The sequence below is a fragment of the Homo sapiens genome, chromosome 19 (assembly GCF_000001405.40).
Source record: "Homo sapiens chromosome 19, GRCh38.p14 Primary Assembly".
Taxonomy (NCBI): domain Eukaryota; kingdom Metazoa; phylum Chordata; class Mammalia; order Primates; family Hominidae; genus Homo; species Homo sapiens.
Genome location: NC_000019.10, coordinates 45498443 through 45524371, shown reverse-complemented (window position 1 = coordinate 45524371; position 25929 = coordinate 45498443). Strand labels below are relative to the sequence as shown.

Below are 25929 nucleotides of genomic sequence, written 5' to 3'. Positions count from 1 at the left end.
CTGGAGTGCAGGCATGATGATGGCTCGCTGAGGCCTCAACTTCCTGGGCTCAAGTAATCCTCCCACCTCAGCCTCCTGAGTAGCTGGGACCACAGGTAAGTGCTACCACGCCTGGCTAATTTTTGTAGAGATGGGGTGTCGCCATGTTGCCCAGGCTGGTCTTGACCTCCTGGGCTCAAGCGATCTGCCCGCCTTTACCTCCCCAAGGGCCCCAGGACCGATGGCCTACCTTGGCAAGGTTGTGCTGTTCTTCTCCCAGGGTCTCCGCACAGATTCTGGGGATAGGCAAGAAATCAGAAAGATCAGGGACAAAAGACTGCCCCCCAATCAATCTTACTCCCCCAACCTCATCAGCCCCTGATCAAAGCCCCATCTCAGGAGACTACAATCCCCAGCACCATTCGCCCTGACTCTCCTATAAGGGTGCTTAACATGTGAGAACAGAGTATTCTGGGATTTGTAGTTCCTGTGGCTGGACTGGGCACTCTACTCACCACTCTGGGCCGGGACTCTGGCCTCTGGCTCCTCCTGCTGGTAGGAAATAAAACTGCCATGAGCCAGCCCCTGCCACACCTCTGCCCATTTCCTCTTTCAGGTTCAAACCCCACACATCCCACTATCCCTACCCTCATGGTACGGCCTAAGAGATGTAGGGCAAGAAGAGTCCCTGACTTACATTGGCAGATTCATCCTTGGGGGTTTTCTCCCCAACTTGCGTGGCTTTCCTTCTGCAGGAGAGAAAAGCAAAAACACGTGCTTCCGTCACCCAACCCATCCCCTTCTGAGGGGAGTTCTAGAAATGTAGATCCTAGCGCATAGAATTCTGGAACTCCGAAAACCTAAGGAAACTCTAGTTTTAGAAATTCAAGAGATTGTGCTGGGCGCAGTGGCCTGTAATGCCAACACTTTGAGAGGCTGAAGCAGGTGGATCTCTTGAGGTCAAGAGTTCAAGACCAGCCTGGCCAACATGGTGAAATCCTGTGTCTACTAAAAATACAAAAATTAGCCGGGTGTGGTGACTCATGCCTGTAATCCCGGCTACTTAGGAGGCTGAGGCAGAAGAACTGCCTGAACCCAGGAGGCGGAGGTTGCAGTGGACCGAGATCATACCACTGCACTCCAGCCTGGGTGACAGAGCAAGACTCCATCTCAAAAAAAAAAAAAAAAAAAAAAAAAAAAAATTCAAGAGATTGTGGTTCTAGAATCAGGGTGGAGGAGGTTCTATGATTCTTATATTAGGGAACAGTAAGATTCCGAGGGTGGAGCGGTGCTGTGTTGGAACACTGAGATTGCAGGAACCTGAGTTCCCAGAATTCTGAGGCAGGATCTCCTACGGTTCTAGAATTCTGGGTTTTAGAACATCTACAGGCTACCTAGGTGGTTGCAAGCCTCAGGCATTTCATGACAAACCCCACCATTATATCCCAAACCTGGTTATCAAAGGGGGAACATTCACCAAAAGAAACAAACTAAACAGGAATTGGAGCCCTCCTCTGACTGGGCCCTACTGAACTGGAACTCCAGGTGACTTGGGGGTCCAGGCTCAGGCTCACCTCCGGGCCAGCATGGCGTTCATCTCTTCCATGAGTCCCCCACCTCCGCTTCGACCACTCTCAGCTTTGGGGGCTGTGGGCCCCCCTGAGGCCTCCTCCTGCTGGAGAAATTTAAAAGGGGCAGGAGCTTTAGGGGCAGGCCTTTTGGCCTTCCAGCCCAATGACACCGCCGGCAGCCCTGGCCTCATCCCCCATAAAAGCCCTGTTGCCCCCTGCCCACCTCTCCCGGCCCCTCACCTTGCTGACTTTCCTGAGTTTGGCTCCAGCAATAGCTGCGGCCAGGCCTGGGGCCCCAGCTCCCCCACCACCAGGGCCCTGTGCTGCCGGGAGAGGGGGTGCAGGGGGTGGTCCTCCCCCTGCTCCGTGCGCTGCAGCTGGGACCCCCGAAGGGGGCAAACCTGGGGGTGGGGGGGGACCTGGAGGAGGGGGAGGTCCTGGTGGTGGGGGTGGACCCCCAGCGGGGGGAGCAGGTGGGCCTCCTGAAACAAACACAGAAAAGGGGGCAGCTGAGAGAGAGAAGCCTCATTCTTCACTGTCCAGCTGGCTGGCCACTTCCTCCAGGGAGGCCCCCTCCCAACTCCCGAAGCTATCTGAGCATCACCTGCATTGGAGACCCGGCGCTCTATGTGCTCCGACGGGCCGGGCTGCTGCCTGTGGGGGGAGGCGAGAGAGCTGCCGTCAATCAGGGCCCTAAGGATGGCCAGCGAAGGGGCCAGCGACCTCCGTCCTCTCTCTCAGAGGTCTCCAGGGTGGCTGGCTCCTAATACTCACCCAAGCCTTCCTCCCCTAGGGAACCAAGAAGGGGGCTGGGTGAGAGTAGGGGGAATGGAGGGCAGGGCAGCGACAGGGAGAGATCAGGATGCGAGATCCCAGTCACTAAACTGTCAGGAACACCGAATTACAAAATGCCCAAGATTCTTTCTTTTCTTTTTTTTTTTTTGAGACTCTGTCACCCAGGCTGGAGTGCAGTGGCTCGATCTTGGCTCACTGCAACCTCTGCCTCCCGGGTTCAAGCGATTCTCCTGCCTCGGCCTGCCGAGCTGGGATTACAGGCACGGGCGCCACCATGACCGGCTAATTTTTGTTATCTTCAGTAGAGACGGGATTTCGCCATGTTGGCCAGGCTGGTCTCAAACTCCTGACCTCAGGCGATCTGCCCGCCTCGGCCTCCCAGAGTGCTGGGATTACAGGCGTGAGCCACCACGCCCAGCCACAAGATTCTTTCAACCACCATATTCTGATTTCCAGGAATCTGCAGGGACCAGGAGGTTCTGCAACTCTGAGTGTCAGAAGTTTCTTGAACATTCTGAAAACTGCAAGTTGGCTGGGTTCTGAACTCTAGGAGTCAAGGGTTCCAGAACATATGGAACTCTGGCAGCGGCTAAGGTTCCCCACCCAGGGCCCAGCCCCACCTTTTCTGCTGCTCCACCTCCTCCGGGGAGGGGCCGTTCGGGACCGACCAGGTGGGAAGTGCTGGGGGTGGAGGGGGCCCACCTCCTGAAAGGTGAGAGAGAAAGGGCCATGGATCAGTCCCAGAACTCTGCTCAGCTCTTGGCGCTTCCCTTGCTCTCCCAGGCCTCCCAGGAATCCTGCCCAGAGGCGCTCACTTCCTCCTTCCAGAGGCCCTGAGGCTCCAGGCCCAGGAGGACGCACATTGGGAGGTGAGGCAGCACCAACTTCCCTGGCCTGAGTTGCCCTAAGGTAGGTGCTGTTGTGATGTCCCAGTGACAGGAGAAGCTAAGGCCCGGGGAACAGTCACTTGCCCCAGATTTCTCCAGGGTGGAATGTGCAGGAACAAGACTTGAATTCAGGCTGATTCCAGCAGCCAGGCTCTTAACCACTGTTGGTTTGTTTCGAGACAGAGTCTCACTCTGTCACCCAGGCTGGAGTGCAGCAGTGCAATCACGGCTCACCACAGCCTCCACCTCCCGGGTTCAAGAGATTCTCCTGCCTCAGCCTCCTGAGTAGCTGGGATTACAGGCGCCTGCCACCATGCCTGGCTAATTTTTGTATTTTTAATAGAGATGGGATTTCACCATGTTGGCTAGGCTGGTCTCGAACTCCTGACCTCAAGTGATCCACTTGCCTCAGCCTCCCAAAGTGCTGAGATTACAGGCGTGAGCCACCGCACCTGGCCCCTGGCTAGCTCTTAACCACTGTTACAGCCACTTGGACCTTACCTAAGAACCTGGAAAGGTAAAGAGCTTCTTCCTCACCTACCTCCAGGCCTCTGGCCCTAGCACCTGAATTGAATTGGCTACGAATTAACAATGAATTAGCCCCAATTTACAGATGACTCAACTGAAGCCCACTGTATTTTTCTGTGTGCCCCAGAGGAGCAAGCCCCTTCCGCACTAGCACAGAAGTTGTCCCACGAAGCAAACACCCCTGCATTTGGTGACTTTCAGTTCTACAGCAGTGATTCCAGGCCAGATGCACGGCAGTCACCTAAAACCTCACTACTCAGTCACGTCCGCAGACCAGCAGCCTGGGTATCACCAGGGCACTTGTGAGAATGTGGAGTCTCAGTCCGCCCAGCCCACCTGCACCAGAGCCTGCACTTTAACCAGATCCCCAGGTGATTCATGTGCACGTTAAGGTTTAAGAAATAGCAACTGGGCTGGGCGCGTGACTCGCGCCTGTAATCTCAGCACTCTGGGAGGCCGAGGCGAGTGGATCACCTGAGGTCAGGAGTTCGAGACCAGCCTGGCCAACACTGCGAAACCCCGTCTCTACTAAAACTACAAAAATTAGACAGGCATGTTGGTGCACACCTATAGTTCCATCTACTCAGGAGGCTGAGGCAGAATTGCTTAAACTCAGGAGGCGGAGGTTGCAGTGAACTGAGATCACACCACTGCACTCCAGCCTGAGAGACAGAGTGAGACTCCATATTAAAAAAAAAAAAAAAAAAAAAAAAAAAAGGCCGGGCGCAGTGGCTCACGCCTGTAATCCCAGCACTTTCGGAGGCCGAGGCGGGCGGATCACGAGGTCAGGAGATCGAGACCATCCTGGCTAACACGGTGAAATCCCGTCTCTACTAAAAATACAAAAAATTAGCTGGATGTGGTGGCGGGTGCCTGTAGTCCCAGCTACTCGGGAGGCTGAGGCAGGAGAATGGCATTTACCCGGGAGGCAGAGCTTGCAGCGAGCGGAGATCGCGCCACTGCACTCCAACCTGGGGACAGAGCGAGACTCCGTCTCCAAAAAAAAAAAAAAAAAGCAACTGGGCTGGGTGTAGTGGCTCATGCCTGTAATCCCAGCACTTTAGGAGGCTGAAGTGGGAGGATCACTTGAGCCCAGGAGTTCAAGACCAGCCTGTAGACCATCTCCACAAAAAGTAAAAAAAAAAAAAAAATTTGAAATGATCCAGGTGGCCAGACATGGTGGCTCACACTTATAATCCCAGCACTTTGGGAGGCAGAGGCAGGTGGATCACTTGAGGCCAGGAGTTTGAAACCAGCCTGGCCAATATGGTGAAACCCCTTCTCTACTAAAATACAAGGGCCGGGCATGGTGTCTCATGCCTGTAATCCCAGCACTCTGGGAGGCCTAGGCGGGCGGATCACAAGGTCAGGAGATAGAGACCATCCTGGCTAACACGGTGAAACCTTGTCTCTACTAAAGATACAAAAAATTACCCGGGTGTGGTGGCTCACGCCTATAGTCCCAGCTACTCGGGAGGCTAGGGCAGGAGAATCGCTTGAACCCGGGAGGCGGAGGTTGCAGTGAGGCAATATCGTGCCACTGCACTCCAGCCTGGGCAACAGAGTGAGACTCTGTCTCAAAAAAATAAAAATAAAAACAAAATACAAAAAAATAGCTTGGGCATGGTGGCACATGCCTGTAATCCCAGCTACTCAGGAGGCTGAGGCACGAGAATCACGCGAACCCGGGAGGTGGAGGTTGCAGTGAGCTGAGGTTGCACCACTGCACTCCAGCCTGGGTGACAGAGCAAGACTCTGTCTCAAAAAACAAAACAAAAAAAGAGCCAAGTATGGTGGTGCACACCTGTATTCCCAGCTACTTAGGAGGCTGAGGCAAGAGGATCACTTGAGCCCAGGAGGTGAAGGCTGCAGAGAGCCATGATTGTGCCAGTGCACACCAGCCTGGGCAACAGAGCGAGATCCTGTTTCTGGGGCAGGACCTACCTATGTCTTGATCTGGGAGGTGGTTTCCCGGGAGTGTGCCTGTGTAAAGTTCATGGAGTACTGATCCCTGAGTAATCGTGCATTTTTTTTGTGTTTGTTTTCTTTCTGAGACGGAATCTTGCTCTGTCGCCAGGCTGAAGTGCAGTGGCCTGATCTCGGCTCACTGCAACCTCTATCTCCTGGGTTCAAACACTTCTCGTCCCTCAGCATCCCGAATAGCTGGGATTACAGGCGCGCACCACCACGCCCAGCTAATTTTTGAATTTTAATAGAGACGCAATTTCACCATGTTGGGCACGGTGAAACTCCTGACCTCAGGTAATCCGTGTGCCTCGGCCTCCCAAAGTGCTGAGATTACAGGCATGAGCCACGGCGCCGGGCCAATGGTGCATTTTACACATAGGTGCACACGGTCACACTGGAATGCACAAAATGCTAGTGATAATTTTCCATGATAACAATGAATTCGCTCTATTTTACCGACGAGTAAACCAAGTCCCAGCAGGGTAAAGCGGCAGCCCCAGGCCACACAGCCGCATTCACTGGTCCCCTTTGCCCGCCGCCATTTCTGACCTTCCAACGCCTCTAGGGCACTGGCCATGCCGGCGGCAAACTGGGCCGCATCCTCCTTGCTGCCGAAGTTGAGGCCCCAGACCTGGCGAGCGTCGCGCCACTGATGGAAGTTGGGGGTGGCCTGGTTATACTTGACACCCCGGACGATGGCACAGTTGATGACCACCTGGTGGGAGGGGAAAGGGGGGTGAGGGGCGGCGGGCGCAGGGGTGGGGCGGGTAGGGGTTCAGCCCACAGAGGGGGCCGGCGGGAAGCTGCACCTGCTGGTCGGGCTGCATCTTCCGGCCCACGACGCGAAAGGAATTGGCCGTGGGGTTGTGGTAGATCTGGACGCGGCTGAAGGCCTGGGGACCCGTGCCAGCAGGGAGCCATCGCTTGTTGCCATCATCATAAAGCATCACAGTGGCCCGGCTGGAACAGATGACCGTCTCGCTGCAGGCGGGAGGAAAAGGGAGAGGGGCCGGTCACCTTCTTATCTGGGTCTCTCCTGGGAGATTCCAAGGGACAAAGACAGTGTGTGGAAGGAAGAGAGTGACACAGAGGGAGGCAGGAGCCACGTGGACAGAAGGAGACGGGGGAGACAGATCAGGAGAGAAAATCAGATCAGGAGAGACAGGCAAACACACAAACGAGATGCAAGAGACAGACGCAGAGAGAGGTGGGAAAGGGAGAGTCGGGTTGACAAAGAGGAGAGACAGACTGAAGGCAGACAGACAGATGAACAGATGGGGGAGGGGTGGGGAAAAAGGATGGGCAGACAGGGGACCTGGAGGAAGAGGCAGACACAGAAAGAGATAAAGATGGTCTTGGCGTGGTGTCTCACACCTGTAATCCCAGCACTTTGGAGGTTGAGGCAGGAGGATCACTTGAGCCCAAGCATTTCAGAGCAGCCTGGGCAACATAGTGAGACCCCATCTCTAATAATAATAATTATTATTATTATTTTTATTTTTGTTTTTGAGACAGAGTCTTGCTCTCTGTCACCCAGGTTGGAATGTGGCCTCGACCTCCTGAGCTCAAGCGATCCTCCCACTTCAGCCTCCCAAGTAGCTGGGACTACAAGCATGCACCACCACACCCGACTAATCTTTTTTTTTTTTTTTTTTTTTTTGAGACAGAGTCTTACTCTGTCACCCGGGCTGTCCTCGGCTCACCGCAACCTCTGCCTCCCAGGTTCAAGCCATTCTCCGCCTCAGCCTCCTGAGTAGCTGGAATCACAGGCATGCACCACCAAGCCCAGCTAATTTTTTGTATTTTTAGTAGAGACGAGGTTTCACCATGTTGGCCAGACTGGTCTCGAACTCCTGGGCTCAAGTGATCCATTTGCCTCAGCCCCACAAAGTGCTGGGATTACAGGGGTGAGCCACCACACCCAGTCCACAAAAAAACTTTTTTAATGAAAAATAAAAAACACAACACAACAAAACTAATAAGAAGGAAAAGATAAAGATGGAGAGACAGGCTGAGGGGTGTAAGAGGCCGAGGCCAATGCCAGTGGGGGGATGCGGGTTAGCAGAGCAGAGGGCAGGAGGGAAGACAGAGGGGCCAGAAGGAGGCCAAGAGCCCAGAGCTGCACTAGGGACCAGCCCCTGCCTGACCTCAGTTTCCCTATCTCTACGCACCCCCCTCCACCACTGCCTGCTCAGGAAGAAGCTGAGGCTTGGGAGGGGAAGTGTGAGGCCTGCAGCAGGTTGGGGACCCATCCCAGACCTCTGAGCTCTTCCTCCAAAGGGACTTCCCGCTGCCCACCCCTCGCCTGGCTCCCCAGGGCACTAGCGGCCATTCCCCAGATACTCCCTGCTCTGTGTCTGGCCTATATTGGGTGGGGCTGGGGATGAAGACACAGCAGTGACCCAGACAGCTCCGGCACCACCCTCCTGGGGCTCACAGTCCAGTGTGGGAGACACAGCTGTCCCCAGACGGTACCAACCCAGGTTTAGGACCAAGGAGCCCAGGGTCTGGGGGTACCCTGAAGGAACGCCTGCCCCAGCCTGGAGAGTCAGGCAGGACTTCCTGGAAAAGGCAACGTCTGACTTAGCCTGGGTGGGAGGTGTCAGTAAACTGGTGCAGAGTTCAGGAGCTGATATCCCCAGACCTGGGTTCAAATCCCCACTGAGCCACCTACTTCATGTGACTCAGGCACATGACCTTCCCACTCAAGACCTCTTCTTGCCTGTGAACTGGGAAAATGACAGTCCCCACCTCCAGGGCAGTGGGGGAGGGGCACATGAATCTGGGCACCTAAAGGGCTTGGTACAGCCGGGTGTGGTGGCTCACGCCTGTAATTACAGCATGTTGGGAAGCTGAGGTGAATGGATCGCTTGAGCTCAGGTGTTCGAGACCAGCCTGGGCAACATGGTGAAATCCCGTCTCTACAAAAACGTACAAAGATTAGCTGGGCGTGGTGGTGTGCACCTGTAGTCTGAGCTACTCAGGAGGCTGACGCAGGAGAATCGCTTGAACCCAGGAGGTGGAGGCCGCAGTGAGCTGAGATCACGCCATTGCACTCCAGCCTGGGCGACAGAGTGAAACTCTGTTTCAAAAAAAAGAAAAAAAGCTAAGTGCTTGGTACAGCGTCCAGCACACGCCGAGAGCTCAGTAACTGTCAACATCCCTCTCATGGGCACCACTGGGGCCCGGGACAGCTACAACCCTCGGGACCCTCCCACCAGCCCCTCTGGGAGGTTCAATCCCCTCTCCCCCAGTGAGGAAACTCAGGCCTAGACAGGAACTCAAACAGGAAGTGACTTGCCCAAGGTCACACAGGGGAAGGGGAAGCACTGGTCTCCTCCCCACCCCACCCACACCAGGCTTTTTCCTGAAATGGGGAAGTTGGTGGTCAGAGGTTTCCGGGGACAGAAATTAGACACCCCCCGCAAAGCCTCTGTCTCTAGGAGGGCTGGGGGCTGGGTGTGACACTGATGCTGGGAAGTCAGGGCAGGGAAAGTCCCTAGGCAGACTCAGCTGTGGGTAGGGACCTGGGGTAGGGACCCTCAAATTTACCTAATTGTGCCATCTCCCTCTTACTAGGCATTTCAGGTGGATCAGGGGCCTTAAGCCCCTCCCCCAAAGTCACTCATTTTATTCTCACTGCAGCTTATCCAGAGAGCCACTCATTCTAATTTTGCAGGTGAGGACTAGAGGCCCAGAGAGGTTGAGTGACTTGCCCACAGTCACACAGCTACTGAGGAATAGAGTGAAGATGTGAATTCAGGCTTCCAAGCCTTAACCACCGGGAACTGTGTGGGCCCCACCCAAACACCAGGTGCCCTTTCCAGACAAACACAGCCTCGGGGGCTGTTTCTGGCTCCTGCTGCCCCTGGCAAGGCAGGGTTAAGGCCTCGGCCTCACCCACACCTGCCACCCACACCCAGGGCCGACTCTGGCCAGGAGCCCGGGGCTGCTGCTGCCCCGCCCTGGCTGCACTTTGCTCTCCCAGGCAGCCCTGCCCTACTGAGGCTCTGGACTGGCCGGAGAACAGGGCGCCTGCTGGGTGACCAAGGGGTGGTCTTGCCCCTCTCCAGGGAACACTATACCCATTGTAACAGAAGGATCCTGTTAAAACACGAGGTGGGGCGGGGAACGGTGGCTCATGCCTGTAATCCCAGCACTTTGAGAGGCCGAGGCGGGAGGATTGCTTTAGTCCAGAAGTTCAAGACCAGCCTGGGCAACACAGTGAGACCCCCCATCTCTAAAAAACAAAACAAACTAACAAAAACCTACAAGGTGGGATGTCTCTTCTTCTTCTTGAAGGCTCCAGGCTCCTACGGAATCAATGCCAAGTTCTCTCCAGGGCCTCCGTGATCTGTGTGTCCTCAGATCTCATTTCTTCCCGCTCCACTGTCCCTTGGGGACTCTGTTCCAGACCCTAGACCTCCTACCCCCATGCTGCTCTTCCCGCAGGCCAGACACATTCCTGCCTCGGGCCTGTGTGCTGCTTCTTCCTCAGGCCTAGCCTCTCCCCACTTTCAGGTCTCTCCTTAGATGTCACCCCTTCCAAGAAGCCGTCCCTCACTCCCTTAGCTGGAAACGCTTCTCTCCTTTTCATCCCCTGCTGCACATTTCATAGCAGTGACCCCTGCCCAACACAATATTTGTCTGTCTCCGCTGCCAAAAAGGCAGAAATTTGTGTCCCAGTTGTTCACTGCTGTGTCCCCAGAACCTAGAATGGCGTCCAACACATAGTAGGGACTCAATAGTTACGAAACATCTGTAAAAAAAGGCAAACTTTGGCCAGGGGAGGTGGCTCACGCCTGTAATCCCAGCACTTTGGGAGGCTGAGGCAGGAGGATCACTTGAGCCCAAGAGTTTGAGATTGGCTTGGGAAGGCTGGGTGTGGTGGCTTATGCCTGTAATCCCAGAACTTTGGGAGGCCAAAGCAGGTGGATCTCTTGAGGTCAAGAGTTCGACACCAGCCTGGCCAACATGGTGAAACCCTATGCCTACTAAAAATACAAAAATTAGCCAGGCATGGTGGCTCATGCCTGTAATCCCAGCTACCCAGGAGGCTGAGGCAGGGGAATCACTGAACCCAGGAGGCAGTTGCAGTGAGCCGATCTCAGACCACTGCACTCCAGTCTGGGAGACAGAGCGAGACTCTGTCTCAAAAAAAAAAAAAAAAAAAAAGGAGAGAGACTAGCTTGGGCAAGATGGTGACCTCCGTCTGTACAAAAAACTTTAAAATTAGCTGGGTGTGGTGGCGCTTGCCTGTAGTCCCAGCTACTCAGGAGGGTGAGGCAGGAGGATCACTTGAGTCCAAGAGGATGAGGCTGCAGTGAGCCTTGTTCAGGTCACTTGCACTCCAGCCTGGGCAACAGAGCAAGACTCCCTCACAGAGCAAGACTCCCTCACAAAAAAAGGCAAACTTTTACCTAGGACACCTAACATTTCTCAGTCAGCCTGGGTCCCAGACACTCTTCTTGGTGCTTGACACCAATTTCCCTGCTGCATGACTCTACAACCTCATGGGATAGGCTCTGACGCTCACCCTTTTGACAAGGGGGAATTGCAGGCACAGAGGAGTGAAGGCACTTGCCCCAGATCACACAGCAAGTAAGCAGAGGGGCTCATAGTTGAAACGAAGTTCCCACAAGTTCTTAACTTCATTTAAAGATGAAGAAGCAGAGCTAAATTGAAATTTTTAAAAGCCAAAGTACAAGGTAGTGTTGATCAGAGGCTTTACAAAACCAAAAAAAAGGTCGGGTGCGGTGGCTCATGCCTGTAATCCCAGCACTTTGGGAGGCCAAGGCAGGCGGATCACAAGGTCAGGAGTTTGAGACCAGTCTGGGCAACATAGCGAAACCCCGTCTCTACTAAAAATACAAAAAATTAGCCAGGCGTGGTGGCGGGCGCCTGTAATCCCAGCTACTTGGGAGGCTGAGGCAGGAGAATCACGTGAACCCAGGAGGCGGAGGTTGCAGTGAGCCAAGATCACGCCACTGCACCCCAGCCTGGGGGACAGAGCAAGACTCCGTCTCAAAAACAAAAACAAACAAACAAAAAAGGTAGGCTAGGCGCAGTGGCTCAAGCCTGTAATCCCAGCACTTTGGGAGGCCGAAGCAGGCGGACCTCTTGATGTCAGGAGTTTGAGACCAGCCTGACCAACATGGTGAAACCCTGTCTCTACTAAAAATAGAAAAATTTGCTGGGCGTGGTGGCGCGTGCCTGTAATTCCAGCTACTCAGGAGGTGAGGCAGGAGAATTGCTTGAACCTGGGAGGTGGAGGTTGCAGTGAGCTGAGATCGCGCCACTGCACTCCAGCCTGGGCGACAGAGCAAGACTCCATCTCAAAAAAAAAAACAGTGAGGAGCATATATAAATATATCTGCACTCAGAGTGGTGATATATGCAGAGACTGTTTCCCAAGACACTAACTGTGGCTGCCTCCATTGAGGGGAACTCAGGAACTGGGGAGGGAAGAAACAAATATTTTGTACCATTTATCTTTTGAGACAGAGTCTCTCACTCTGCACCCAGGCTGGCAGTGGTGTAATCTCAGCTTACTGCAGCCTCCACCTCCCAGGTTCAAGCAATTCTCCTGCCTCAGCCTCCCAGCCTCCACTTCCCGAGTTCAAGCGATTCTCCTGCCTCAGCCTTCTGAGTGTCCGGGATTACAAACGTGTGCCACCACGCCAGGCTAATGTTTCTATTTTCAGTAGAGATGGGGTTTGGGCGTTTGCCACATTGGCCAGGCTGGCCTCAAACTCCTGACCTCAGGTGATCTGCCTGCCTCGACCTCCCAAAGTGCTGGGATTACAGGCATAAGCCACCAGGCCCAGCCACCATTTCAATAATTTCAGTAAGTATTTCAAACTGCTTATTATTTGTTTTCTTATCATGGGTTGAAATTACCTATAAAAACCTAACTCACTACTTAAGTTCAATAAATAAAACTGTAAACTACACAAAAGCCAGAACGAAAATCCCATAGCCATAAAACGGGGGTGCGGGGGCTGTGAGATGGAAAGGAGTTCTGCCCATTTCCAGTGTGTTTTCCCGAAGTCTAGAACCCTCCATTGGACATGAGAACACTTTAATTTTCCAGCCAGCCCAGGACCCACTCCTCCCTGCAAGTCCCCACATTTTGGAAAACTCTAGCACATGGCGGATGAAAAGACGGTTCAAGTTGCCTCCTTGTTGTGTGGCTTTGCCTCTCTGAAACTCAGTTTCCAGCCCTGGAAACAATAACTCACTGGGTTCATTGTAAGGATTAAAAGAGATAATGGACAAAAAGCCCTAAACGCAGGAACTGTAACTTGGTACACGCTCCACATGAAGGAGAGAGCTTCCCATCACCAGAGGTAATCAAGCATGGTGAATCCGGTTTTCACAAAACTTGCAGTCTTACCCTTCCCTTCACTGTCCCCTGAACCCAAGACTTAGCCCATACCCTCCTTATACCATAAAACCTATGATACATATACACCACCCTTCCAAACGACAAATCTTCTTTTGTCGGGGATGGGGCTACTCTAGTCCCTTCCTCCTGGTGGGCCTCAGTTTCCCATAAGTGAATAGGAAGATAAATGTTGCAGCTTCGGTTTCATTTGGCTTATCTGAATTATCTTAAGAGTTTTCACAGTGAAAGCACGTTCCTTTTTTTTTTTCTTTTTCTTCATTAAGAACACGGAAAGCATGTTATCTCTATTTTTTTTTTTTTTTTGAGACAGGGTCTCACTTTGTCACCCAGGCTGGAGTGCAGTGGCAAGAATATGACTCATTGCGGCCTCAACCTCCCCAGCTCAAACGATCCTCTCGCCTCAGCCTCCAGAGTAGCTGGAACTACAGGCGCATGCCACCACACCCAGCTAATTTTTGTATATTTTGTAGAGACGGGGTTACACCATATTGCCCAGGCTGTTCTCAAACTCCTGGGCTCAAGCGATCCTTCTGCCTTGGCCTCCCAAAGTGTTAGGATTACAGGCATGAGCCCCGGCGCCTGGCCCTGTTTGAGTTTAATAGGCACCTTGCCTAACTTTCCTGTGCCTCAGTTTCCCCATCTATAAACTGAGTACCGGGGTGGGGAGGCCACAAGGTTGTAATAGTATCATTGTTCGAACTGCCATGAGGGGCCAGGTGTGGTGGCTGACGTCTGTAATAATAACACTTTAGGAGGTCGAGGCGGGTGGATCACCTGAGGTTAAGAGTTCGAGACCAGCCTGGCCATCACGGTGAAACCCTATCTCTACTAAAAATATAAAAATTAGCCGGGCATGGTGGCAGGCACCTGTAGTCCCAGCTACTCGGAAGGTTGAGGAGGAGAATCGCTTGAACCCAGGAGACGGAGGTTGCAGTGAGCCGAGATCATGCCATTTCACAACAGCCTGGGCAACAAGAGCAAAATTTCCGTCTCAAAACAAACAAACAAACCAACAAAAAAACCAGCCAGAATTGCTGTCAGGCACAAAAATGCCCCACATAAAATAGATGCTTGATCAAATGGTCTCTTATTTTTTAAAAATAAAAATAGCTATTATTGGAAGAAGAAAGAAATGGACCCCAGTTCTCCCCAAGTCCCTTCTGCCCTGAGATTCTAGACCTCTGCCTCGCTTCTCTGTCTTCCCAGCACCCCAGCTCCAGTCCCGGACACAGCCAACACTCAACAAATATTTGTCAAACTGGGAGAAAAAGAACTATATCTTGTAATTTTCCATCTTAACATCCTCTCTTCCAACTGCCCCCAGGACTGTCCCCAGCCAAACCAGCCAGAAATCAGAGGATCCTAGGCTCCTCCACCCCTCCAACGTTGCCTAGGAATTTCTGAGGGATCTTGGCCATGTCTTTTTCTCTTTGAGCCTCAGTTTCCCCAGCTGGGTAATAGGGGCATGGGTTTTGAATTCTGGCTGTCCTTGGAGAAGAGGCACAGCCCAGGAAGTCGGGTGTGACCACCTGCAGGGGAGACCCCCTGGAAAGGTGGGAGTGGCCTTTTGGTGGGACAGGCATCTGGTCATTTCTGCACCGCACCCCACCCCAGCACCCCCACAAGACGGGATGCTTGGCCACCACCACAGCAAGAGGTGGGCCTTGTGGGAGGGCCAGGGCTTCCAGGGCTGGTGCTGGTGGTGGTGGTGGTGGTGGGGAGGACAGGGGGCCGGCCCAGACACCGCTCCTGCCCTTTTACGGTTGCAGTGAGTGAGGCAGCACTAACTCGGACATCCGCCATCCGCCTTCCACCGAGCCTGGGACCGGAAACGCGAGGGGGGGTGGAGGGGCGGGGCTGGGGGGCAAGGGGAGAGAAGAGTCCCGGAGGAAGAGGGCGAAGGAAGAGAGCGACGCTCCCTAAACTGACCCCTCTCCAGGGCGGACTTGGAAGGGATGTTGCTATAATGGGGAGCGGATAGGCAGGAAGTCTTGAGGGTATCTGTGGGTGTCCTCCTTGCTCCAAATTTTCCAGCCATGCCTTTCACATCAGAAGGAACAAACGCGGGAGGGGGATTCTCTAGTGGTCATAAAAAGGAATGCCACGCCACTCCGATGTCAAAGGGCAGGGGTTCAGGAAATGCGGGGGATGTGGGCACCACGGGGTTAATCCCCAACCGTCCCCAGGGGCCTCCCTGCTCAGGCTGGGGGCTTTGGGGCAGGAAGTCCCAGAGAGAGTAGAGGAAGGGAGATAGTATTGTCAGGCTCTGGCCCCATGGGAGAGATTATGGGGGGCCAGGGGAGGGAAGAATAGGGGGGATGGTTGGGCCCCCCTGCCCACACTGGCCCCGCCCTCAGGTGAGCCCAGGAGTTCGGGGGAGGCCCCGGCCAGACCAAATCCCTGGGTCCCTTGGGCCGCCACCCCCAGGATTAAATTCCTGGGAAGATAGCTGGAATTATCTGGGAAGCCTGGGTCCCTAGGGAAGAGGGCTATGACCTTGAAGCTTTCCAGCTCCCCCTCCTCCAACCCCAAGGCTCCGGGTGGATAGGGGGACGGTGAGCAAAGGGGGAGGGGCCGTGGTGGGGAAGGCAGCCGGCCTACAGCGCTTGGTGCCCGCCCCCCACACCAGCTGTCTCGACAGGTGAGTCAGGAAGACAAAGGCCCCCTTCCCCCAGCTGCCGCGCCCCCTCCCTCTCCAGGGCCGCGCAGGTGGGGGAGCCGGGCCGCCCTTATGGCCGGAGGCGGGGAGCCGCCCTCTGCTCCGAGCGCCCGCTCGGTCCTAGGCACGGCCAGTTAAGCAGATTGTGTGCGGAGCGACGGGGAAGGGGGGGGTCCCACCAGACTCTGGAGGCTGCGTCCAGGTCCCTGGATCGGTTCACACCAGCCTCCTCCACAGGAAGACCTAAGTGACCCCCAAAATCCAGGGGATTAAGAAGTACCCCCGAAGTTATGGAGCGCGGTCCCACTTGGGGAGACTTTTTCCAGCACCAAGTAAACGGGGGACCTGCACACCCAGGGTCTGAGTCTCAGTCTCTCTTCCAAGTCCCAGGGTATCCCAAATCGGTCCCCCACAATCCTTCCCGGACCTCGAGCTGAAGTCTGGGGGGAGGGGGAGGAGAGTCTGAGCCCTGCCTCAATCCTGGCATCCCTGCGGGGAGTCGCTGCCAACTTTGAGGTCCTCTAAAAAAAGTCTTAACAATTCGGGAGTCCTCCGAGCGCCCCCAAATCTTGAGGGCTCCCAGGAGAACCTCACCGCCACCACCCCCCGAGCTTGGGGAGTCAGTCGTGGAGAAGTGATCGACGGTTCTGGGGCGCGTCCAAGGGGATTCAGCTCAAATCCGAGGCTCCCAAGGATCTGTCCCCAAATTCCAGCCCGGAGCTAGCTGGGGGGGAGGGGGACAAAGGCGGGGCGCGGAGCCCGCCCGGGCGGGGACGGGTCGGGGGGCAGGTCCGGCTCACCTCATGGCTGCTCGGCGGGCGGGCGGCTCGCCCACGGGCTGGCTGCTCCCGGGGCGCCCCTGGCTGGAGGTTCAGGGGTTCGGGGCTGGCTCCGGGCTCGGCTCAGGCTCCCCCAGGGTCCCGCCCCATAGAGTCCGGCTTCCTGGGGAGAATGTGGACCGGGCCGGGGCGGGTCTCCGGGCGCCGCTTCCCTCAGGCGGTCTGATGAGAGGTTCCTGCAGCAGAAAGGGGATGCAGCGTCCGCTCCCCAGCGCGCACCCCTTGCCGGTGGCGGCTACAGTGTTACTCTTACTACTGTACTTCTCTTCGTTACATTTCGTTCCAAAATTCCACTCCCCGCACCCACAATGCCCCGCGCCTTAAAGGGGCCGCGTGCGCCTCCAGGCGAGGGGGTGGAGGGCGCTTAAAAGGGCAACTCTGCACCCTCGGCTTCCGCGATCTCGCTCCTCTCCCCAATGTTGTAGCCCAGGGGTGCACCCTGGGAATCACCCCCACCTGAGGGGCAAGTTGGTGAAGGGGAAGGGGACCTCCCTTGCTTCCTAGTTCGCTCCCACTGTGGGAATTCTGAGGAGGGTCTCGGAAGGGGCGCGATTTCTTTCCCCATCGACTTCTCCATCTCGTACTCCGCTCAATTTTGGGGGTCGAGGAGGACCCTCAAGTTAAGCAAGTGGTCTCAGATTTTCTCCCTGAAATCCCATCTTCGGAACACCGCCCCTCCCCAGCGTTTCTCTTCTGTCAATTTCGGAGAGGTTACTAAGGGGGCGAGACCCCCACCCGCACGGGAGTGGAAGTCGGGGGAGTAGGGCCCAACCCCTCTCACCCCACCCCGCCCGCCCCGGGAAGGTGAGGAGGAAGTGGGCCAAGGGGGCGCGGTCGGTCGCTGACTCACAGCCGCAGGGTCGGGGGTGGGGTGGGGTGGAGGTGGGGACTGGCGAGGAGTGCGGGAGTGGGGGGCCCGGCATTCGCCCGGGGTGGGCAGGAGGCGCCGGCTTCTTTGGTGTGTAAAGCCTCCGGCCCACGCACGCCCCGCTCTGACTCAGTTTCGCCTGCGGAGGACAGCAGGATCATCCCAGCCCTCAGGAGGGCCCGGAGGTGAGGAGACCCTCCCGGGAGCCCCCGCCCCCACACGCCGGCTCCGGGCTGAGCCCAGACACCCTCTGAGGCTTCCGCAGCGTGTCTTGCCGGCCCCGCCCCGAGTGACGTCACTGATTTGGTCGCGCCCCTTGGGTAGAGCGCCACCTGGCCCGGGTGAGGCGCCCGAGCCCTGGGAAATCAGTTAGTTCCACATTTACACACGGGTAAACTGAGGCCTGGAGACAGGGAATGAATCTGGCCTATGGCCCTCTTGCCTGAGCCCCCAGAACCCGGAAAGCCACCAAGGTCTGAGTGTAAAACCAACAATTCTCAGGGCCAGCTGACTATGTGAGAGAATCCACTTTTCCAGCGTATGTCCAAGCCGAGTCCCATGTCCGGATGTTGATGTTGTCCTGACCTCCTTTACCTGGGGAGCACGTCATCCTTCCAGGCCAAGCTTTGACATTAATTCCCCTCCCCTTCTCCACCCCACTCTGGGAGACCTTGAACCCTGTTCCTCGGAGGTTATCATTGTTTCTCAGTGTGTTTCCTCAGGCTGAGTTGTCTGGGAGAATGGGTAGACTAAATTTCTTTTTTTCTTTTTTTTTTTTTGAGATGTAGTCTCTCGCTGTCACCCAGGCTGGAGGGCGCTGGCTCGATCCCCGCTTACTGCAACCTCCCCCTCCTGGGTTCAAGCAATTCTCCTGCCTCACCCTCCTAAAGTAGCTGGGATTACAGGCACGGGCCACCAAGCCCAACTAATTTTTGTATTTTTAGTAGAGATGGGATTTCACCATGTTGGCCAGGCTGGTCTCAAACTTATGACCTCAGGTGATCTGCCTGCCTCAGTCTCCCAAAGTGCTAGGATTACAGGCATGAGCCACTGCACCCAGTTGACTTAATCAATTTCTGGACCTCACTCACCCCAGCCAGGCCCGCCCGGCTCAGCAGCTCAACAAACTTACCTAGTTGAATGAGTTACCAGTTCAGTGTGACCTTGGGTAACTGTGTTCTCCTCTCTGGGTCTCAGCTTTCCCATCTGTGACATAGGAGGGGTGGCATTTCTGGGTGCCACCTACACTACAACAACAGTCAGCAAACATGGTTTTTTGTTTGTTTGTTTGTTGGAGACAGGGTCTTTGTTGCCCATGCCGGAGCGCAGTAGCATAACCAGGGCTCATTCGATCCTCTAACCTCAGCCCACTGAGTAGCTGGGACTGTAGGTCCACACCACCATGCCAGGCTAATTTTTTGTAGAGACAGGGTTTAGCTGTGTTGCCCAGGCTGGTCTCAAACTCCTGGGCTAAAGTGATCAGCCTGGCTCAGCCTCCCAAAGTGCTGGGATTGGAGGTGTGAGTCACCAGGCCCAGCCGGCAAACATTTTCTGTAAAAGTTCAAATAGGAAATATTTTAGATATGCTAGACATAGGGTCTGGTTTACACACTCTTCAGTTTTTCTTTTTTCTTACAAGGCTTAAAAACTGTAAAAAAAACTCTTCTTAGCTTAAGTGCTGTACAAAACAGGTAGCAAGACCCCTGTGTAAGAGAACGCTTGCATATGTACATAACGATCTTTACGGTAGCAGTGATGTGAGAGCAAGAAATTGGAAATAGCTTAAATGTTCATCAAGAGGACAGGGGAGGCTGGGCACAGTGGCTCACGCCTGTAATCCCAGCACTTTGGGAGGCCGAGGCGGGTGGATCACTTGAGGTCAGGAGTTCAAGACCAGCCTGGCCAACATGGTGAAACCCCGTTTCTACCAAAAACAAAAAATTAACCAGGCATGGTGGCACACACCTGTAATCCCAGCTACTTGGGTGGCTGAGGGGCTGAGGTGGGAGGATCACTTGAACCCCGGAGGCGGAGGTTGCAGTGAGCCAAGATCGTGACACTACACTCCAGCCTGGGAGACAGAGCAAGACTCCTCAAAAAAAATTAAACAAAACAAAACAAAAAAAAGATGAGGGCAGGGAATAGTGAAACCCTTGGACATCCTTTTCTGAAGCACGGAGTGAGCAGCAACTTAAGGAGGTGTGGACTGGGCAAGGTGTGTCATGCCTGTAATCCCAGTGCTTTGGTGCTTTGAGAAGCCAAGGCAGGAGGATCACTTGAGGTCAGGGAGTTTGAGACCAGCCTGGACAACATAGTGAGGCCCCATTTCTCTCTTTTTTTTTTTTTTTTTTTTGAGACAGAGTTTCATTCTTGTTTCCCAGGCTAGAGTTCAATGGCGCAATCTCGGCTCACTGCAACCTCCACCTCCTGGGTTCAAGCGATTCTCCTGCCTCAGCCTCCCAAGTAGCTGGGATTACAGGCATGCACCACCAAGCCCAGCTAATTTTTGCATTTTTTAGTAGAGATGGGGTTTCTCCATGTTGGTCAGGCTGGTCTCGAACTCCTGACCTCAGAAGATCTGCCCACCTGGGCCTCCCAAAGTGGTGGGATTACACGTGTGAGCCACTGCGCCTGGCCGAGACCCCATCTCTAAAAAAAAAAAAAAAATTAACTGGGTGTGGTATCATCCATCTGTGGTCCCAGCTACTTGGGAAGATGAGGTAGGAGGATTGCTTGAGCCCAGGAGTTCGAGGCTGTGGTGAGCGATGATTGCGCCATTATACTCCAGCTTGGGATACAGACTTAGACCTTGTCTCTTAAAAAAACGGGTGGCATGAAGTGTGTAAATGACGTGGGTGACATAGAATGAAAACATCCATTAAGTGGATAAAAAGTTGCCAGAGATACGAAGGGAATGAAAAAAATCAAGGAAACACCCAGAATACCATATATTAATACATGTAAAAAGTCCACTTTAAACTCATTGCAAGGGTTACCAGTGAGATAGAGAGTGTGGGGTTAATTTGGTGGTCACAGAGATCTTTTTTTTTTTTTGTAGAGACAAGGTTTTGCTATGTTGCCCATGCTGGTCTCGAATTCCTGGAATCAAGCTGCCTCGGCCTCCCAAAGTGCTGGGATTACAAGTGTGAGCCACCGCACTTGGGAGGTCTCAAGTCTGTCTTGAAAATGCCAAATTTGGCCGGACCTGGTGGCTGGCTCATGCCTGTAATCCCAACATTTTGGGAGGCCGAGTTGGGTGGATCACCTAAGGTCAGGAGTTCGAGACCAGCCTGACTAACATGGTGAAACCCTGTCTGTAGTAAATACAAAAAGTTAGCCTGGTGTGGTGGCACGTGCCTGTAATCCCAGCTACTTGGGAGGCTGAGGCAGGAGAATCACTTGAACCCAGGAGGCGGAGGTTGCAGTGAGCCGAGATTGCACCATTGCACTCCAGCCTGGGCAACAAGAGTGAAAACTCTGTCTCAAAAAAAAAAAAAAAAAGGGGGGAAATTTTATCCTGCTTCTAAGCCTTCATACTGATTGTTCCCTCTGCCTTAGAACACTCTTTGGGGTATTTGCGGAGCTGACTCTTCTCTGTCAGGTCTCTGCTCAACTGTCCCCTCCTCAGAGACCTTTCCTGATTCCCCTGTTTCAAAAGCCACCTCCCCCACCACGGAAAATTGAGTGGCTGAAGTGTGAGAGGGATAGAGAAAGACTTCATTGTATGCCATCTTGCACTCTTTGCATTTCAAACCAAGTGAATTTATTACCCATTCAAAACTACCTGAATTAAATAAATCAAAATTTTAAAAATTGGAAAAAGTAAAAAACCCGAAGTAGCTCCCCTAGTCATTTTCTCAACACATCCTCCTGTTTTATTTTCTTCGTGACACTTGTCAGTGTGCAAGATGACTTCATTTTTTTAGTATTAATTACAGACTGGGCGGGAGAATGGCATGAACCCGGGAGGCGGAGCTTGCAGTGAGCCGAGAGAGCACCCTTGCACTCCAGCCTGGGTGACAGAGCGAGACTCCGTCTCAAAAAAAAAAAAAAAAAAAAAAATTACAGATTGCATCTTGCTATGTTGCCCAGGCTGGTCTCGAACTCTTGGGCTCAAGTGATCCTCCCACCTCAGACTCCCCCAAGTGCTGAGATTACAGATGTGGACCACTGCGCCTGGCGAGATGACTTTATTTATTGATTCCCTTGTTTGCTGCGTCTCCTGACCAAGAGGTCAGCCCCACAGTGGCAAGGATCTTGGTGGGTCAGCCTGGTTCATGACTGTGAGGCTAAGACCTGGCACACAGCAGGTGCCCTGTAACGTATTTGCTAACAGACTAGGCAAAACATGTCTTCTTGTTTTTTACAAGAAAATGTATTTGGAATCACTTATGTAAATAAAGTTTAATAATCAAAACTCTACTTCCCCTCAAAAACAGATGAGTAATAAGAAGGAAAGAGGTTATTGGACTGGGTTATCTCTCAGAATCTGTTCGGCTCTGAATATTTCAAAAACATTTGGTTGGGTTTTTTTGTTTTTTTTTTTTTTTTTTTTTTTTTTCGATTTGGGCTTTTTTCTTTTTGGTCTGGATGTTGGTGGAATTTCCCCATTCGTAAGACTTTTCTGTGAGAGGGAAGTAAGAGAAGAAGAAATAAGCATTTTGGGTTCCTACATTGGCCTTCCTTCCTTCCGCTGGTACATGTAGTTGGGGAAAGGGTCGGTTTTCTTCTTTAGTTCTGTTGAGGCCCCAGAGAAGCAAAGGATCCCCAAAGGACAACAGCTGTCAGGCCTCCATGTCCAAGGCTGAGCCCAAATGCGTGGGGTTGGACTTCCCAGCCCCATCCTGCCCCTTCTGTAACACAAAATGTGGGAGAAGGTAATGAGAAATTCTGTCTTGTCTCCTGGCACCTCTTCCTTTTCCTTTGAGGGACCACCATATCCCATCTCACAATCCATTAAGGTTTGAATGGAGTGGACCCCAACCCCAAGTGCGACCCCAGCCTGGCCAATCAGACACAGTGACTGGTCAGCATGTGACCTGGTGTGGCCAATGAGAACCAGCCCCCAAAGACCACTGCTGCAACTCCGGGGAAATTGGCAAACTTTCTCCACTGGGGAGGACAGGCTGCTGGGGTGTAAGCCTGGAGCTGCAAGTCTCCGCTACCTTAGGAGGAGACCCTGAAAGGTAATGAAGCCAACTCGGAGAAAATAAAAAGAGACCATTCATGATGACATCATCTGACAACTAGATGCAGCCATGCCTTAAGACTCTAAACTCTTCAATTACATGGCCCAGTAAATTCCCTGTTTTGTTTTCCCAGCTTGAATTGGGCTTCCATCTCTCACGACTCAAAGAAAACTGACAAATACCTCCTTCAGCTACTGAGAAATTGTCAACAATCCTCCCTCATCAACATGATAATCACCAAACTCCCACCTCTGCCATGCAAAGGCCTTGGGGCTCTAAACCCAGCTTCCTCCCTCCCATTTCTTCCCTGATGCCACTCCATGCCTTGGTCCACCACTATACATCTTTGGATATCTCCAAATTCTCCTTAGCTATCTGGGCCCCATTACAGCTTCTCTTGTCTAAGACCTGGATCATACTCATGTATGTCCTGATGGTATCTGCTGTGCGTCTAGGCCTTAGAATTGGTCATTAGCATTCCCTGAATGTTTCCATCTTATTCTTGGATGTGGGAAGCACTTGGGCTGATGGGGCACTGCAGAGCGTTGCCGGCTCACATTTCTTGGAGGGGAATCACAGTCTCTTCTCTGCATCTGCGTCTCCCTCCTCATGCCTTGCACAATGCTTCAGGGCTGGGAGTAGGAATGTATTAATATAGCAAGCTGGCTGGGTTGCAGTGGCTCCCGCCTGTAATCCCAGCACTTTGGGAGGCCAAAGCAGGAGGATCCCTTGAGCCCAGGAGTTTGAGACCAGCCTGGGCAACATAGTGAGACCCAGTCTAAAAAAAAAGAGAGAGAGAAAAGAAAGGAAGGAAGAAAAGAAAAAAAGAGAAAGAAAGAAGAGAAAAGAGGAATAAAATATATCAGGCAAATCCCTTATCCTCACTGGCTTCAATTTCCCTGTCACTAAGAGGGGTGGGCGGGGGGGCGTCCCCTCCTAAGAGAAACACTGGAGAACACAGGATCCTTACCTCTCCGCACTCTTCTGAGACCTGGCAGATCTGAGAATAAACTTCAGCAATGACAGTGGCCCTGGAGAGCACAGGAAGGCCCTCAGGAGGGGACTCTCCTCCTTCCACCCCACCCTCATTCCACCCCACCCTTCCTCACCCCAACTCACTTGCAGTCCAGCCCTCCCCCAGGAGGTAAATCTGGGATGTCCTCTGAGGCCAGAGTCCTGAAAACTGTGTTCAGGCTGGGGGGCTTCTGAGCAGAGGCACACAGTTCTGAGAAAGAGTCAAGAGTTAGGCTGGGCACAGTGGCGCACGCCTGTAATCCCAGCACTTTGGGAGACCAAGGCGGGCGGATCACTTGAGGCCAGGGGTTCGAGACCAGCCTGGACAACATCGTGAAACCCCGTCTATACTAACAATACAAAAATTAGCTGGGTGTGATTGTGCATGCCTGTAATCCCAGCTACTCAGGAGGCTGAGGCAGGAGAATCGCTTGAACCCGGAAGGCAGAGGTTGCAGTGAGCCAAGATCACGCCACTGCACTCCAGCCTAGGAGACAGAGCAAGACTCCATCTCAAAAAAAAAAAGAAAAAAAGAAAAAGTTATGGCACAGCCTTCACTGGCCAACCACCCCTCCAGCTGGGCCCCCAGAGTCTGCTCACCAGCGATTCTGCAGCCCAGGGCTGCGTCCAGTGCTAGCTCCCTCCTGATCGCCTCCTCAGAAGGCCTAGGGGCCCCAGGGAAGCAGACCAGGATGCAGGTCATGTTGTCCAGGCTGCCCTGAAGCCGGTGGAGAAAAAGGAGCCCGGTGGGGGAGAGTCCAAGGCAGAGCTTCCCAACAATCCCCAGGTTCAAGTCCCCCACTTCATTCTACTTATGCCCATTTCTTTCGCGTCCCACCCACCTGCCAATCCTCTCTTACTGGGACCAAACCCGGTCCTAGGCGCTCCCAATTGAGAGAACAATGCCTTTTCCCTAAAGCTCCGCCCGCTCTGATGTTTACCTGCTCTTCCACCTTCCAGCACTAATCAATACTTCCGGCCCGGCTCCTACGACCCAGAATCGCCCCTTTCCAAAAGACCACGCCCTTTCTCTTAAGTCCCTTCCACTAACTCTCCCGTGCCTCAAAGCATCCCTCAGGCTCCGCCCCTGTATTTTGGCCCTGCCCACTTCAGGCCACGCCCTTCGCTTGAGTCCTATCCCCTCCTTTGCTAGCTTTACTCTTGCCTCTCTATCAAAGCCCTCCTCCCCAAAACCCCGAGGCTCTCTCCCTCTGCTGCACCAAGCCCCAAAGGTACCACGCCACGCCCCCAGGACCTTGCACAGACACGTGTCCAACAGCTGCGCGCAGAGAAGCTCTGGGGCCAGGCCCAAGCGGAGGCGTGAAGCCACCAGTCCCGCCAGGGCAGCACCAGACACAGTGTCCCAGACGCCATCAGAGGCCAGGAGCATGAACTCGTCCTCAGCCTGGCGTGCCAGTGCGGCCACCTCTGGCTCCGCAGAAACGAGCTGTAGCTCGGGGGGCCTCCCCGGAGCCTCCTTGTAGGTAAAGTCGCCCAACGCTCGCGACACGGCCAGAGAGCCCTCGACGCGGCGGCGGCGGATGGTGCCGCCAGCGGCGTGGATGCGCTCGCGTTCCCGGGGTCGAAGGGGCCGGTGGTCCTCTGTGCTGAAGGCCACGGCGCCAGCGCGGCTCAGCACCGCGCGGGAGTCACCGCAGTGCGCCAGGTACAGAAACCGCGGGGAGACCAGCAACACCACGGCCGTGCAGCCGCCCGTTTCCACGCGGGGCCAGAGGGAGCGCAGGCGCTCGTCGGCGCTCAAGAAGGCTCGGCGCAGCGCCTCGCGCACGCCCTCGGGCTCGCTAGGCTCCGGGCCCAGCTCCTGGAGCACATGGCCTGGCAAATGGCGTGCACCGAAGCGGGCAGCTCGAGCCCCACCGTGGCCGTCGAGGACGGCAAACAAGGCCCAGCCCGGGGGCAGACCAGGTAACGAAAGCCAAGTGCAGTGAGCATCCTCCATGCGCGCGCGCCAGCCTTGCGCTGCGCTCGCCCCGAAGCGCAGGCCCCCAGACGCCTCGGCACCCCCGTGCGGCCGCTGGGCGCGGCGCGGCGCTGTCAACAGAGACCGAGGCCCTTCGGGGGCCCTGCGCCCCGCCTCCTCCTCCTCCTCTTCCTCCCTCCCCTCCTTCTCCCTCTCCTTTTTCTTGCAAGCGGTCCAGAGGAGACGCTGCAGCTGGCGGGCCAGGACCGCCATCCTTCAGCCCTGGGATCAGGAAGGCTCCAC

At 54.3% G+C, this 25929-nt stretch overlaps 2 protein-coding genes and 2 long non-coding RNA genes across 10 annotated transcripts in view, besides 10 other annotated features; 2 read left to right on the top strand and 2 right to left on the bottom strand.

Annotated features, from left to right (window-relative positions):
• The window catches only part of VASP (vasodilator stimulated phosphoprotein), a 19505-nt gene extending 2612 nt beyond the window's left edge, over positions 1-16893 (bottom strand). The window contains exons 1-10 of one of the 4 annotated variants that reach the window (NM_003370.4): positions 16596-16893; positions 6538-6709; positions 6278-6443; positions 2966-3050; positions 2155-2204; positions 1791-2032; positions 1554-1654; positions 677-728; positions 495-531; positions 230-275 (exon numbers count right to left, since the gene is read on the bottom strand). In NM_003370.4, coding sequence (NP_003361.1) covers positions 230-275; positions 495-531; positions 677-728; positions 1554-1654; positions 1791-2032; positions 2155-2204; positions 2966-3050; positions 6278-6443; positions 6538-6709; positions 16596-16600 — 956 coding nt within the window. In that variant the 5' untranslated portion in view covers positions 16601-16893. The remainder of the gene's footprint in view (positions 1-229; positions 276-494; positions 532-676; positions 729-1553; positions 1655-1790; positions 2033-2154; positions 2205-2965; positions 3051-6277; positions 6444-6537; positions 6710-16595) is intronic. The other 3 variants (XM_005259200.3, XM_005259199.3, XM_017027200.3) reach the window with 3 other exon arrangements.
• On the top strand, positions 59-3422 carry LOC107985315 (uncharacterized). The gene is made up of 2 exons (XR_001753959.1): positions 59-95; positions 3129-3422. It is a non-coding gene; the product is annotated as an uncharacterized LOC107985315 (long non-coding RNA).
• Positions 502-621: a silencer, noted in NCBI's record as "silent region_10780". NCBI's record gives its function as "represses an Ori minimal core promoter by ATAC-STARR-seq in GM12878 lymphoblastoid cells {active_cell/tissue: GM12878}" and the evidence as "EXISTENCE:reporter gene assay evidence [ECO:0000049][PMID:35858748]".
• Positions 1277-1829: an enhancer, noted in NCBI's record as "H3K27ac hESC enhancer chr19:46025801-46026353 (GRCh37/hg19 assembly coordinates)". NCBI's record gives its function as "activates a minimal SCP1, AML or CMV promoter by ChIP-STARR-seq in primed H9 embryonic stem cells {active_cell/tissue: H9 hESC(primed)}" and the evidence as "EXISTENCE:reporter gene assay evidence [ECO:0000049][PMID:30033119]".
• Positions 14829-14958: a silencer, noted in NCBI's record as "silent region_10779". NCBI's record gives its function as "represses an Ori minimal core promoter by ATAC-STARR-seq in GM12878 lymphoblastoid cells {active_cell/tissue: GM12878}" and the evidence as "EXISTENCE:reporter gene assay evidence [ECO:0000049][PMID:35858748]".
• Positions 15769-15968: a silencer, noted in NCBI's record as "silent region_10778". NCBI's record gives its function as "represses an Ori minimal core promoter by ATAC-STARR-seq in GM12878 lymphoblastoid cells {active_cell/tissue: GM12878}" and the evidence as "EXISTENCE:reporter gene assay evidence [ECO:0000049][PMID:35858748]".
• Positions 16444-17228: an enhancer, noted in NCBI's record as "H3K27ac hESC enhancer chr19:46010402-46011186 (GRCh37/hg19 assembly coordinates)". NCBI's record gives its function as "activates a minimal SCP1, AML or CMV promoter by ChIP-STARR-seq in naive H9 embryonic stem cells {active_cell/tissue: H9 hESC(naive)}" and the evidence as "EXISTENCE:reporter gene assay evidence [ECO:0000049][PMID:30033119]".
• Positions 16563-16742: a silencer, noted in NCBI's record as "silent region_10777". NCBI's record gives its function as "represses an Ori minimal core promoter by ATAC-STARR-seq in GM12878 lymphoblastoid cells {active_cell/tissue: GM12878}" and the evidence as "EXISTENCE:reporter gene assay evidence [ECO:0000049][PMID:35858748]".
• Positions 16893-17162: an enhancer, noted in NCBI's record as "active region_14800". NCBI's record gives its function as "activates an Ori minimal core promoter by ATAC-STARR-seq in GM12878 lymphoblastoid cells {active_cell/tissue: GM12878}" and the evidence as "EXISTENCE:reporter gene assay evidence [ECO:0000049][PMID:35858748]".
• Positions 16998-23562, top strand: LOC107985314 (uncharacterized). 2 transcript variants are annotated; one of them, XR_007067269.1, is made up of 2 exons: positions 16998-17687; positions 22825-23562. It is a non-coding gene; the product is annotated as an uncharacterized LOC107985314 (long non-coding RNA). The 2 variants fall into 2 exon arrangements; XR_007067270.1 differs by lacking the exon at positions 16998-17687 and adding an exon at positions 22351-22688.
• Positions 17423-17552: a silencer, noted in NCBI's record as "silent region_10776". NCBI's record gives its function as "represses an Ori minimal core promoter by ATAC-STARR-seq in GM12878 lymphoblastoid cells {active_cell/tissue: GM12878}" and the evidence as "EXISTENCE:reporter gene assay evidence [ECO:0000049][PMID:35858748]".
• Positions 17583-17832: a silencer, noted in NCBI's record as "silent region_10775". NCBI's record gives its function as "represses an Ori minimal core promoter by ATAC-STARR-seq in GM12878 lymphoblastoid cells {active_cell/tissue: GM12878}" and the evidence as "EXISTENCE:reporter gene assay evidence [ECO:0000049][PMID:35858748]".
• PPM1N (protein phosphatase, Mg2+/Mn2+ dependent 1N (putative)) lies at positions 21859-25929 on the bottom strand. Of its 3 annotated transcripts, NM_001080401.2 has the most exons (5): positions 24961-25929; positions 24306-24423; positions 23811-23916; positions 23662-23722; positions 21859-22355 (listed from the first exon to the last, which is right to left on the bottom strand). In NM_001080401.2, exons 1-5 carry the CDS (start codon positions 25897-25899, stop codon positions 22287-22289), a joined length of 1293 nt encoding a protein of 430 aa, NP_001073870.1. In that variant the 5' UTR covers positions 25900-25929; the 3' UTR covers positions 21859-22286. The 3 variants fall into 3 exon arrangements, with proteins under 3 accessions (NP_001073870.1, XP_047294180.1, XP_047294181.1); XM_047438224.1 differs by lacking the exon at positions 23662-23722; XM_047438225.1 differs by lacking the exons at positions 21859-22355; positions 23662-23722; positions 23811-23916 and having other exon boundaries at positions 24317-24423; positions 24942-25929.
• Positions 25632-25701: a silencer, noted in NCBI's record as "silent region_10774". NCBI's record gives its function as "represses an Ori minimal core promoter by ATAC-STARR-seq in GM12878 lymphoblastoid cells {active_cell/tissue: GM12878}" and the evidence as "EXISTENCE:reporter gene assay evidence [ECO:0000049][PMID:35858748]".